This window comes from Homo sapiens, chromosome 13 (assembly GCF_000001405.40).
Source record: "Homo sapiens chromosome 13, GRCh38.p14 Primary Assembly".
NCBI lineage: Eukaryota > Metazoa > Chordata > Mammalia > Primates > Hominidae > Homo > Homo sapiens.
In genome coordinates this window covers 24,924,431-24,938,832 of record NC_000013.11, presented here as the reverse complement: position 1 = coordinate 24,938,832, position 14,402 = coordinate 24,924,431, and the positions used below count along the sequence as shown (strand labels likewise).

The 14,402-nt window shown below is 42.6% G+C and overlaps 1 protein-coding gene and 1 pseudogene across 3 annotated transcripts in view; both read left to right on the top strand.

The window, feature by feature from the left end:
• TPTE2P1 (TPTE2 pseudogene 1) overlaps window positions 1–10,078 on the top strand; it is a 39,730-nt pseudogene extending 29,652 nt beyond the window's left edge. Inside the window, exons 6-7 of one of the 2 annotated variants that reach the window (NR_178209.1) lie at window positions 1,063–1,256; window positions 4,170–10,078. The product of NR_178209.1 is annotated as a TPTE2 pseudogene 1, transcript variant 1 (transcript). The remainder of the gene's footprint in view (window positions 1–1,062; window positions 1,257–4,169) is intronic. The other variant, NR_026730.2, reaches the window with a different exon arrangement.
• Window positions 4,833–14,402, top strand: part of CPAP (centrosome assembly and centriole elongation protein) — a 51,722-nt gene continuing 42,152 nt past the window's right edge. The window contains exons 1-3 of the mRNA XM_047430483.1: window positions 4,833–5,338; window positions 12,939–12,985; window positions 13,958–14,009. The gene's annotated coding sequence lies outside the window, so the exon portion shown is untranslated. The remainder of the gene's footprint in view (window positions 5,339–12,938; window positions 12,986–13,957; window positions 14,010–14,402) is intronic.

The window sequence follows — 14,402 nt, the reverse complement described above, 5'->3', positions numbered from 1 at the left end:
TGTTCCAAGACTCTTTATATTATGTCAGATAGCAAGTGTTGCCTCAGCTTTTCTCCCAACAATTGGACTGATGGGATGCTCCACTGTGCACAAGCATCATGGGTTCTTAGAACAAGGCCCTGCACAAGCACCAAATATGTTCCTGTCACCACAGTCCACTAGCCCTTCAACTATAATCGTGCACAGGAGTCGCCTGGGGGCCTTGCTAAATAAAAATGCAGCTTCTGATTCAATAGTCTCAAACAGGACCAGAGATTCTGCCTGTCTTGATGAGTTCTCGAGTGAGGCAGACAATGCCAGTTCACAGACTCACACTTTGAGATACAGCACCTGGGCCATTGTATTCTAATGTGCTTGATAACCTGGAGCACCTATTAAATATCCAAGTTGTCAGGACTTTCTTCTGGAAATCTTGATTCAGTATGTTTTGTTTGGAGCCTTAGATGTTTGGGAAAACTAGAATTTCTTTCTTTCCCTTTAGACAAAAGTCAACTACTGCTGAGGCATGGGCTTAATAAATGTTGACTAAAATATCCAACTCAACAACCAATCCTGTATAATTTTCAAACTGTGTCAGTAACTTGCCAGGTCCAACCTGCAGACCCTGGCCACATGACGGGTGAAGAAATGCACTCAGACACAGGTATCCCATGAAACAGCAGGCTAGGGGACCGGCAGCTCCCAGACACCAAGGAGGGTGCTGTAAAGAGTCAGCAGCCACAGCCCTGACAGGCTGGGGCTCCAGGCATTTATTCAGTACAGATTTAATGACAAAGGTCTCAAGTAAATACGACTAGAGGGTAATTAACATCGCTGACCTCCGGAGTAGAGAGCAGTCATGCACCTGCAAATGATCAAAGGTCTTAGGACCACATGAGTAAACAAGCTATTTAGATAAAATCCTCTACATTCCTATGTATCTATGCCCTAAGCTTTTAAGAGAGTTCAGCTGTCTTCAGCCAAAACTTTTACTGAAGCTACGCAAACCTCCCAGCCTTCCAAGAAGTTTTGTGTCTATTTCCTACATCTTAATTTTTATAATTTCTCCCACAACCCTGACAGATCCCCTACAAAAGACCATGTTTCTTCTCAGCTTGCTCAGTCCAGCTGAGCCAGCTTTCCACTGGACTCCTGAATGTGAGAAGGACACAGGCTCCCAGGACTATCCAGAAGCATGCCTCATCACCATAAAGCTCTGAAACACCGGCTGGGTGCAGAGGCTCACACCCGTAATCCCAACACATTCAGAGGCTGAGGTGAGAGGATCACTTGAGGCCAGGAACTCAAGACCAGCCTAGGCAGCATAGCAAGACCCCATCTCTACAAAAAGTATACCCCAAAATTAGCTGGGTGTGGTGGCACATGCCTGTAGTCTCAATTAATTGGGAGGCTGAGGCGGGACTATCCCTTGAGCCCAGGAGTTTGAGGCTGCAGTGAGGTATGATCGCACCACCACACTCCAGCCTGGGAGACAGATTGAGACCATCTCTAAAACAACAACAACAGGCCAGGTGCAGTGGTTCATGCCTGTAATCCCAGCAATTTGGGAGGCTGAGGCGGGTGGATCACCTGAGGTCAGGAGTTCAAGAACAGCCTGGGCAACCTGGTAAAATCCCATCTCTACTAAAAATACAAAAAAATTAGCAGGGCATGGTGGCAGGCGCCTGTAATCCCAGCTACTCGGGAGGCTGAGGGAGGAGAATTGCTTGCACCCAGGAGGCGGAGATTGCAGTGAGGTGAGATCATGTCATTGCACTCCAGTCTGGGCAACAAGAGCAAAAGTTTGTCTCAAAATATAAAAAATATAAAAAATACAACAAAAAAATGAGACACAGAAAACAAATATTTTGTTTCATTTTATTATTGCTTGTTAGTTGATTAAAGTAATTCTGCTTCCACTTACTTTATTTTTGAAGACACTAATTGCTACACTGAATAAAACCTTAATGAAGTTTCATTATAAGTATCTATTATCATTTGATTATTTTCTACATAGAAGCATGCAAAAAGTTTAAAATTCAGTTTCATTTGACTTAGCCTTGACTGTAATGGAGGACTCTATGAAGAGGGGACACAGTGCTTATGGGCTGGAGTCCCAGCAACTGCTTGGTGGCAGAGTCCCAGTCGTTCCCCAGTTCAAGCCGTGGGCAGATAGATGGGTACTGTCCTTCAGTTCTTCTTACCCATTCACTTGCTTGCTTTATTGCCTCAAAAGCCCAGGGAATATTCCTAGATTAAAAAAAAAAAGTTTCAGATTTCAGAATATAACATGTGAAATGTAATGTGGTACTAAACCCATCACATTATATCAGACAAAATGATTCTGCCAAAAATTAAGATATTTAATAAAAGCAGTTTTCCTTGGCATCTTACGGAAGTTCTTCTGCCCGTCTCACCTCGAGCTTATGCACTGCATTGTCAAGTGCCCTGTGCCCGCCACCTCCTGGCTTCCACGTGCCTCCAGGCATCCCTGCTGCCTGCAGCACAGCTCACGTTCCAGCCTCTCTACAGTTGTTTATGGTTGTCCCCTTTCCACGCTTCTCAGTCTAAATCCTATCCATTCTTCACGCACAAACTCAAGTACTATTTCACAAATGAGGCTTCTGTTTCTCTCTCCTTCCCACTATACTGACTTGATTAGGTACCTTCAGAATATCTGAGAGTCCCCCATGAAACTGGCATACATTCAGTTGTGTCACGTAAACCAGGAACAACTTGGTAGAATAAGCATATCGAGTCAAGTCTGTGTCCACTAAATGGTGTCAAATATTTGAGACTGTTGAATATTCAAGTCTATTCAACACTCAGAAAAATTCTGAGGTTGTTCATTAATATTAATTAGCTACTTCCTCATTGTTCTGTCATCTGCTAGAACTTGTTAGTGAACAAGTGGCAACATACACCAAAGTTCTTCAGAAAATTCTATGGGGAAACTTAATATTTTGAAAATTCTCTCCCTGTTCCTGATTTTTCCCTGTGAACTGGGAAAGGGCCGTCAGTATAGCGTGGTGGTTAAGAGCTGGGTTTGAGTCCTGACTCTGCAATCACATGATATTGGCCATGTGATACTGTGTGGCTTTCATTCAACACTGGGAATCTCAGTTTCCTCAATTATGAGAATAACGAGGTCCTATGGGTTTGTGGTGGAAATTAACAAAGCTTACAAACTTAACATGCTTACTAGTCCCTAGTGCACAGTAGGCACTCAATAAATGTTCACTGAATGTCATGATAGAATGAACATACTAAATAAGAAGCATGCCCAAAGTGGTTAAAAGACCAATGTTTCCTAGTAAATATTCATCTACTGATAGTTACTAACTGCTGAAAACAACAAAACTGGCTTTGAATATTTTCACTGATTGAGCCGGCCTCCTTTAGCCCAGTGGCCTCTACACTTTTTGGTTCACATTCCACTAGCAAGAAAATCTTGTGCCTACACCCCCATATAATGTGCTCTCGCATCAATGTTACGTACATCCTGAAATAGAAAATATAGAACAAAGTTTCAAATATGCAATAAACAGGAAATGAAAAATATTTAATTACATGTGTGCACTAAGGAAAAAAAGTCAATCCATTATGCCTCAGGAAAAACAACATTTAAATAAGTTATTTGTATCTATAATTTTCATCCTTAAAAAGTCTTAAGGTAGTTTGTGATAATCTTTCTCAAATTTCTAAGACTTCTATAAATAACAGTTTCTAGTTACATAAACATTTAAAAAATCAACTGTTTTTAAAGGATATGGCTACGAATGCACTATAATTGATTAACCCTAGAGGTTATTTCTAAATTTTCATTATTATAAACAACGCTGTGATGACTATCCTCATGTACACATCCTTGTGCACTTGTTCAATTATTTTCTTAGTAGTGGAAAGGGAGGTTCAAAGGTTATTCATTATTTATTTTAATTCATAATTTTTAAAAATTTTGGGGTTTTTTTGTAGATATGGGTTCTTGCTATGTTGACCAGGCTGGTCTTGAACTCCTGGCCTCAAGTGAGTCTTCCACCTCAGCCTCCCAAAGTGCTGGTTTACAGGCATGAGCCACTATCCCCAGCTTACAATTTTATTTAGTTTTTAATAAATAGTAAATTCACATTGTAGAATATCTAAAAAATAAAATAATGACATGTTAACTTCTTCCCCACTGTTGTCCCCAGTTCCTTTCTGCAGAGGCACCTGCTGTCACTTGCTCCTCACGAATTCTGCTAGAGCTACACTATGTGTAGACATATGGCAGCGTGCTCCTCAGCCTCTTCCGTGCTGGTTTGTCCACTGAATTTATCTTGGCGATTTTTCCTCGTGATTACATGTAGAGCTGCCTCATTATCTACAGTAGCTGGGATGCACATTTCACATGTTTATGTACACTGACTTCCAAAAGGTTGCACTTACAGTATGTGAGTTTCTAAAAAGGAGAGACCATGTTGGCAGTTCTCCACACAGAAGACAAACTGAGAAGGGAGAGCGGGCACGAATTACTCATCTGTCCACAGAGATGGTGAGACAGCTCAGTGTGGGAAGCTGTATAAGGGAAGTATATACAATTCTACCTGAATTGGAAGTAAACAGGGACATTGCATTTCTGGTATTCAGCTGGAGTTGAACACGCTTCACAGATGAGGCTCACTATGGCCAAGTCCCAGGGCTGAGGTCCAGGGAGGGGCAGGCTGAGTCAGCCCATCAATTCATCAACAGAGGGAACAGGAGAGGACAGGGGCAGGCCAGCCTGGAACCTAGAGCCTTTGGATTTCTATTTTTACTTCTTACAACGAGGTGGTTTAAAAAAAGAGGAGGGGGCCAGGCACGGTGGTTCATGCCTGTATTCCCGGCCCTTTGGGAGGCCGAGACAGGCGGATGACATGAGGTCAGGAGTTTAAGACCAGCCTGGCCAACATGGCAAAAATCCTGTCTCTACTAAAAGTACAAAAATTAGCCAGGCGTGGTGGCAGGCACCTATAATCCCAGCCACTCAGGAGGCTGAGGCAGGAGAATTGCTTGAACTCAGGAGGCGGAAGTTGCAGTGAGCTGAGATCGCACCACTGCACTCCAGCCTGGGCAACAGAGTGAGACTCCATCTAAAAAAAAAAAAAGAAGAAGAGGTTAGACTTAACTGTTTCCAAGATTTCATCCAGTTGTGAAATCCTGTTATCTGAACTGCCAGGCCTACAAGTTCAATTCAAAAGATGGAATGTAGCTTCCTGCAGTCTTTAAATGAACAAAACAAACAGCACAAGCTACACTGCGAAGATGAGTCTGCACTACATATCTTTCTTTTTGCCCCCAGGAACCTGGCTTACCAGTATATCACCCCAGCGTTGACACACTGGTGAGTGACGACAGTGCGCTTTTTGCAAATCCTGTGCACTATGACTTTTTTCCTTCAAGAATAGATTTGACTGGTCTGAAATTCTATTTTCATATTTGGCTGTGCTCTAGTAATATCCTGCCTCACTGGACATGTGGAATTGTCCTGCGGTTCAGGGAACAGGGAGAGAACAGGGCTGGTCCTCCTCTGCCTCTGGGGGCCCAGCCTCCCAACCGGCCAAGTCACAGTCTCTCCTGATGAGCTTCCAGTAGCTCACTCTCTCCTGCTGCTAATCTCTGTTTCCTCTTCTAACCATGACCCTGTTGTTCCCTGAATGCGCGATGTTTTATCACACTGTAGTTTATGACATTTGGAAATACCTGAGGATTTAATGAAAAGGAAAACTTTCCGCCATTTTCCTTAATGTCAGTTTGTAGCTTTTTCTTCTGCTGCCGAGGTAAGTACTTCACTTTCAAACAGAAGATACAATTTGCAAAGATTCCCATCACCATCCTGTAGGAAACAAAGTTTTTAAGGACCCTCTCTTAAGTCAATATGACAGTGAATTTAGAATTGTTATACATACAAACTGGAAAAATTAGGCATTACCTTAAGAAACATTGTAATCATGTTGTAAATTGAACACATTGTAAAAATTGAATATCATAGCTTGCAACATGTGTGTTGGTTTAAGAATGATTTCTAGCTTTTGTGGCTGATATTACAACACCCAAAATCCCTTTGTACAGGCTTATAATATACATCTTAATAAAAACATGACAGATTTTAGTTACAGATTGTGTGACTCAAGAACATAGAAGCATTTATTTCTAAATTAAAAATTAACATTATGTGATAGTGAAACATGGGTTTTTGTATATAATTCTATGCATTCAAAAAGACTCATTATGTGGGTTTCTGTTAAGACATTCTGGAGAAAAACCGAACAATTGGTAATAAAAATATACAACTATGTTTAAATGGAATATGTATATGTGTATATACACATATATATTCTGCATTTGGGTGTTTTTGGGAGGGAGATGGAGTCTCACTCTGACACCCAGGCTGGAGTACAGTGGTGTGATCTCAGCTGGTTGCAACCTCCGCCTCCCGGTTCAAGTGATTCTCCTGCCTCAGCCTCCAGCGTAGCTGGGATTACAGGCGCCCACCACCATGCCTGGCTAATTTTTTTCTATTTTTACTAGAAATGGGTTTTTGTCATGTTGCCCAGGCTGGTATTTGTCCATTTTTAGAAACAAGGAGTCACGTCTAACAGCCTCCCTCAAAGAAAGCTGCCCTTTGGAGATAGCGGTTCCCGAGTCCCGTGTCGGTTTGGGGGTCGCTGTTCCGGGTCCCTTGTCAGTTTGGGGATCGCGGGTCCGGGTTCAGTGTTAGTTTGGGGATTGCGGTTCTGCGTGCTTTATCAGTTTGGCGAAAACTCGCACTCGGAGAGCGCAGCGTCCCTAGCAGGGACCGTCGCCAGAAGGCGCCCAGAATTGGGTCCCTCCAGGTGGGGAGCGGGACCCGGCCTCAGGCGGGGTTTGTCTTTTCAGCCTGAGGGGGTTCAGGGCTTTGTTTCAGTTTCATGTTTCAGGAGGGATTTAGCCAATGAGGATAAATCCAAAGCTCGGCTTTGGGAGAGGTGGGTGGATGGTGCTGTCCTTTAACTGAGAAATGCAAGGGATTCGCAAGGGCGGGAAAGAAGAAAATTTCGGGAAAGTTCGTGGAAACAGGAGAGTGAGATAATAAATTTACTTTAAGACTTCCTGAGTTTGAAATTCGTGATAGTGTTTGTAACTAGTTAGAAATATATTTTTGTAACTAGTTAGAAATACATTTATCTGCCACTCAAGAGAGGCGAGGGCTGGAGATACAGATCTGAGATTCACTGAAATGGGAATAAAGCAATGGGGAAGATCCAGATTTTTAGGGTACTGAATAAAATGAGAATAGAAAGGATAGAGTAGAGAATACAGTGGAAAAGGTATGGCTTTGAATCCTGACTCCACAATTTATTACCAAGGGGATTGGGGACACCGTAATTTACCAAGTTTCATAATTACAACCTACTCTATAGTGTTGTCTAAGAAACAACAAGAGATTTTGGGGGAGGAGAGAGACTCTGGTTTCCAGAGTTACCACATTATAATGCTCAAAATGTCCAATCTTCAACAAAAAATTATGAGGCATGCAAAAAAAAAAAAAAGAAACATGAAAAAATGGCCAAATCAAAGGAAAAAGTAAATGAACAGAAACTGTCCCTGAGCCGAGGAAGTGCAGATACAGGAATTATAAGAGAAATACTTTAAATGACCTGTCTTAAACATGAACAAAAAGTGAAAAGAAACATAGAAAAAGATCGGAAAGAAACAACCAGGAGAACAAGGTCTCAAAAACAAATAGGGAATATGCAAAAGAATAATCAAATGGTCAACAAACATGAAAAAAGCTCAACATCACTAATCATCAGAGAAGTGCAAATCAAAACTGCAATGAGATACCATCAGAACAGTTATTATTAAAAAGTCAAGGAACAACATATGCTGGCAAGGGTGCAGAGAAAAGGAAATGCTTATACACTGTTGGTGGGGATGTAAATTAGCTCAACCACTGTGGAAAGCAGTTTGGAGATTTCTCAAAGAGCTGAAAACAGAACTGCCATTCGACCCAGCTATCCCATTACTGGGTACACATCCAAAAGAAAAGAACTCATTCTACCAAAAAGACACATGCACTAGTATGTTCATCACAGCACTATTCACAATAGCAAAGACATGGAATCAACTCAGGTGCCCATCAACAATGGATTGGATAAAGAAAATGTGGTACATATGCACCATGGGATACTATGAAGCCATAAAAAGAATGAAATCATGTCCTTTGCAGCAACATGGATGCAACTGGAGGCCATTGTTCTAAGCGAATTAATAAAGGAACAGAAAAACCAAATACTGCATGTTCAAATTTGTAAATGGGAGCTAAACTCTGGGTACTCATGGACCATAAAGATGGCAACAATAGACACTGGGGACTACTAGACAGGGAGGGAGGGAAAAGGGCAAGGGTTGAAAAAACTATTGGTACAATGCTCAGTATCTGGGTGAGGGGATCAGTCATACCCCAAACCTCAGCAACACAAATTATACCTAGGTAACAAACCTGCACATGTACCCTCTGAATCTAAAATAAAATTTGAAATTATTTAAAAAAATAAAGATTATTAATAGATAGAAATTATAAAAGGAACCAAACAGAAATTATGGAACTGAAAAGAACCAAAAAAATTGTATAGTTAAAAAGTACAATAGCATGAAGCATGATGGCTCATGCCTGTAAACCTACCATCTTGGGAGGCCAAGGCGGGAGGATCACTTGAGGCTAAGAGTTTGCCTTGGCAACATAGCGAGACCCCATCTTTACAAAAAAATTAAAAAATTAACTGGGCATGGTGGTGCATGTCTGTGGCTGTAGCTACTCAGGAGGCTAAGGCAGGAGGATCACTTGAGCCCAGGAGTTCACAGCTGTAGTGAGCTATGATTGCACTCCTGCACTCTAGCCTGGGTAACAGAGCAACACCTTGTCTCATTAAAAAAAAAAAAAAAAAAAAAAAATTCACAAGTGACGCTCAACAGATTTGAGCAGGTTAAAGAAGGAATGAGCAAACTTGAAAACAATTGAAATTATTAAGTCTAAGGAGCAGAAAGTAAAAGAATGAAGAACAAAGTCCAAAAGATTTGTGGACACCATCAAGTGTACCAGCATATGCATGATGGGAGTCCCAGAAAGAAATAAGAGGGTAAAAAGGGCAGGAAGAGTGACTGAAGAAACAGTGGCCCCAAAGTCCCAATTTGATAAAAGACATAATGTAACACTTCTAATAAGCTCAATGAACTTCAAGTATGATAAACTCAAAGAGTTCACAATAGCATTATATTATAATCAAACTGTTGAAAGCCAAAGACAGAGAAGCTTAAAAGCAGCTTGAGAGAAATTATCAGTACATACAAAGGACCTTCCATAAGATTAACAGCCAATTTATTACCATGGAGGCCAGAAGGCAGTGGGATGATATAAAGTGCTGAAAGAAAACAAACAAACTGGCAACCATGAATTCTGTATCTGTCAAAACTATCCTGTAGAAATGATGGAGATGACAGGCGCAGTAACTCATTCCTGTAATCCCAACACTTTGGGAAGCTGAGGCAGGTGGATTGCTTGAGCTCAGGAGTTCAAGAACAGCCTAGGCAACATGGCAAAACCCCATCTCTACAAAAAACAAAAATTAGCTGGATGTGGTGGCACATGCCTGTGGTCCCAGCTTCCTGGGAGGCTGAGGCAGGAGGAACACTTGAGCCCTGGAGGTTGAGGCTACAGTGAGTTGTGATTATGCCACTGCCCTCCAGCCCAGGTGATAGAGTCACCCCATCTAAAAAAAATGTGTAATAAAAACCTACAGAATGCTTGAAAAACCATCAAACTACTATGTAATTGTTGTTATTTTTAAAGAAAGCAAAAATACAGGTGTGAAAACTATTATGGTATTGCTCTGCAGTTATCACATCAAAGATTCAAGCTAGAAATCCTTTACAGTCTATTCAACATCATTGGTCAGGCATTCTAGAATATAGTGGATGTGATCATCCCTTTGTTGTACAGACCCATTAGGTTTCCAGGATCTTTTGTTGTAAGTCCAATACACCAGCAATAGATTTAACTATATCAAAATGCCAAGATTAAAAAAAGTCTCTTTGCACCCAACATTGTTGTTAGAATCTTCTTTACTGGCCAGGTGTGGTGGCTCACGCATGTAATCCCAGCACTTTGGGAGGCCGAGGTGGGCAGATCACCTGAGGTCAGGAATTCGAGACCAGCCTGACCAACATGGAGAAATCCTATCTCTACTAAAAATACAAAATTAGCCAGGCATAGTGGTGTGTGCCTGTAGTCCTAGCTACTCAGGAGGCTGAGGCAGGAGAATCACTTGAACTCGGGAGGTGGAGGCTGCAGTGAGCCAAGATCACGCCACTGGACACCAGCCTGGGCAACAAGAGTGAAACTCCGTCTCAAAAATAAGAAACTTCTTTACTGAAGTAATTCTAGAAATCTGTTTCAGGCCTTGGTGAAGAACTCCTTCACTCTTCCTGCAGGTAAAGGAGGGTGTGGTTTTTCTTGGGTTTGTCTAGAGGCCAGACACATGCATCTCCCCAACCTGCTGGAGTTCCCCTTTCTAGCCCGGATCACCTGGGCTTGGGGATCTGCCAGGTCTGTCCTGCAGACTCTGGCTGAGCAACAGATGAAAGGAGTACTCAGACACAGGTATGCAGTGTTTAAGAGCAGCTAGAGGACTGCTGGGCACTAGTGGCTGAAGAGTGAGTAGTCTTGAACAGCTGGAGCTGCCTGTTTTTATTCAGTACAGACATAATGCTGAAAGCCTGGAGAAAACACAATCTGCAGGTAATTAACATTATTGTTCCCCCTTCAGGGAAGGGGTCACGTGTGTGAATGATCAACGGTCAGCTCCTGGTCAACATAAGTAAACAAGCCTGTTGTTAGTATTCGATTTAACCTTCTGAGGTCTTACTGACTGGGATGTTAGTATATATCCAAGATATTTCCAAGGAGAGGACATCTGTACCTTTTCAGGTGCTATGATTAAGCCTGTTAACTGTGTATTCTTTTTGACAGAGGCATATAAATTCAAAAGTATTGGCTCCGTTGGGGCTGCCAGTAAGATGTCATCCATATAATGGATTATCTTGCAATTAGGAAATTCTTTTCTACTGGGGAGCAAAGCCTTATTTACACGATACTGACACATGGTAGGACTGTTCAGCATTCCTTGGGGAAGTACTTTCCAGTGAAATCAGGGAGCTGGGCCTTCATTATTGATAGCTGGTATTGTAAACGTAAATTTTTCTCTGTCCTGTTTTGCAAGGAGAATAGTATGAAAGCAGTCTTTTAAGTCAATAATGACTCAAAACTCGAGGAATCACTGCGGGGGGAAGGGAGCCCCTGTGGAAGGGGCCCCATAGGTTGCAAATTAGCATTGATAGCCTGTAAGTCATGCAGAACTCTCCATTTACCAGACTTTATGGGAATGACAAAAAATGGGTGAATTCCAAGGGCTGTCTGCTGGTTCTATATGGCTGGCTTTTAATTGTTCCTCAATTAATTCATGGGTTTGTTGTAATTTCTCTCCCTTTAAAGGTCACCGTTCTACCCAAATTGGATCTTGAGACAGCCATGTCAGGGGTAGGGGAGGACTTACAACAGTGGCCACTATTAGAAAGGGCTCTGCATAGTGACCCCCCCATTGGGCTAATAAGGTCCCATTCCCAAAGATGAACAGGGATGGGCATGATTAGAGGTTGTATAGTTGCTTTTCTTCCCTCCAAATCGTGACTTTAGAGGGCGTGCACTCTGCTTGGCTGTGTGCACTTCTCCAGTGCCGACAATTTTCTGTTTCTGAGTGACCCATATGTTTTACCCAGCCAATTGATTCTGGTTGGTTTGTCATTCACACAACTCATCATATTCTGCCATCCAGAGGAGGTATTGACTGGCCTCTAAAGTTGTTTGAGCTAGCACTGACCTGTCCCATGGGATCATAAGGAAGTTGTCTGCTATGGCCTCAATTAATCCTTTTGTAGATGGGCTAGCAGCTCTGTTTTCTCTAATGCTTTTTCTTATCTCTTTATAGGTGTTGAAAGTGATGGGCTCATATACCTGATTGCCGTGTTGATCTTGCATCACAGGGCAGGCCAAGAGCTCCCCTTCTAATGCCACTTGCCTAAGACAGGGTCCCGTAACTGTAGTGTATCCCTTGTCTTTTTTTCCAATTTATTGGAGGAGGGGGCTCAGGGAAACTCTGTCTCCTCTGTGGCACCTTTACCTAGTAACAGTGGGGCTGAGGGAGGAGGAGGCGGTCAGGTAGGTGGATGGTTCCTCTTCCCTTTCCTTTTTAGGCTCTTTTGTGTAGAGTGGGGCCAAAGCAGCCCTGATTAAGGCCCATAACGTTAAAGATGTTACTGGGACCCGTTTCCCTTGTGCATGATGTTATTTAAGATTTCCCCTCACTTGCTCCCAGAGTTCTTGGTCTAACGTGCCTTCTTCTGGGAACCATGGGTTATTGAAAACAACAGTTTGCATTAGGCCCCTTAACTGAGCCTCCGAGACCCAGGCTCTGCTAGCTTTAAGCAGCTGTTTCAATACTTACATATAGTGTTGCTGTTGAGCTGATAACTGTTGTCCCATGATGAAACCCTAGGTTGAAAATTCCCTCAAACTTGGAAATCCTGAGTGGGCACCAATTACTTACTTCCCGCACAGTCTCTTCACCTCATTTTTGGGGGTTCCATCGTGATCTGTTGCAGCATTCCTCACACAGGGCACCAGTTGCTGGGTCTGTCCCACAGACCCTGGCTGGACGATGGATGAAACGAGTACTCAGACGCAGATATGCAGTGTAAGAGCAGCTAGGGGACTGCTTGGCACTAGCGGCCAAAGAGTGAGCAGGCAAACAGCTGGAGCTGCTTGCTTTTATTCAGTATAGACATAATGCTGAAAGCCTGGAGCAAAAACAATCTGTGGGTAATTAACATTATTGTTCCCCTTTCAGGGAACGGGTCACGCATGTGGATGATCAAAGGTCAGCTCCTGGTCAATGTAAGTAAACAAGCCTATTTACGATAAATTCCCCTATGCTTCCTGGTACCTACTCCTTGCCCTCTGCCTCAGGGTCAGAAAACAGCTGCCTTCAGCTTATTCTCCCTGGAGGCTATGCAGAGGCTTCCGACTTTTCAGAAGGTCTGCTCCTTTCCCTATAGTTTCTCCCACCACTCTGACTGATCTATAGGAATCATTCCTTGGCCAGGCTAGCCCTGATGTCCTCCCCCACTTTTTTTCTTTTTAAGAGTTGGCGGTTTCACTCTGTTGCCCTGGCTGTAGTCTCGTGGTGTGATCATAACCTTCAACTCCTGGGCTGAAGTGATCCTCCTGCCTCAGCCTCCCAAGTATGTAGGGCTACAGGTGCACACCATCATACCTGGCTAACGTTCAAACGTCTAGGCTCAAATTATCCGCTTCAGTCTCCCAAAGTGCTGGGATTACAGGTGTGAGCCACTGCACCTGACATGTCCTCTCTGGATAGAGTGGACACTTGCTACCATCAGACCAGCAATGAAAAGCTGTCAACTCTTTGTCACTCAGATCAACTTTGATTAAAAGAATTATTACCAGCCAAGCACAGTGGCTCATGCCTGTAATTCCAGCACTTTCAGAGGCCAAGGTGAGAGGACTGCTTGAGCCTACGAGTTAGAGACCAGCCTGGGCAACAGAGTGAGACCCCTGTCTCCAAAAAAATAAATAATGAAAAAGAATTATTTCCAAATAATTTGGGAATACAATAAGTATTATTCTGTGTCTGGCACAGCATTTGACAAGACCCACAGAGCTAGGCTTTGGTAGACAAGAGTTCACCAACAGTTAAATTCTTTATAAAGATGAAAACACCTCCTGTTCATTGACTTTTTACTATGTGGAGGTTTTTTGCTACTTTTTCATACATAGTCTTTCTTTTAATGTAATCTTCTTGACAGTCCTATGAAGGTCTCATTATTATCCACCCCTGTTTTGCAGATGAGAAGACTGGTTTCAGAAAAGTTGAGTGCTGAAGACTACAAAGCTGTTTGTAAGTTATCAAGCTAGGATTTGATCCCAGGTCTGCCTGATAAATCCTGGACTCTTAACCATGACATAGGAGTGCCCTCTTGACTCCTATGATGGCATAAAGAATTGTATCAGAACGGGTAATCTGGCATTAAAACCCCTGTGCCACAACCGTTAGTCTAATTTTTCTCTACAGCACCATCTGAAGATGCAACAAGGATAGGAACCACTGATAAGGTAGAACATTTTATTGTCTGGCAGAGTAGAAGATGGAAGTTCCTCCCCACTAGCCTTTCCACCTTGTAATGGATTTGAACCCTTGAAGCTTAGTGGGCAGTTTTGAGAATTACATGGGCTACAGGTGAAAACTTACACATTATAACCTTAATTTAACAGCCAGTTAAGACTTGAGTGT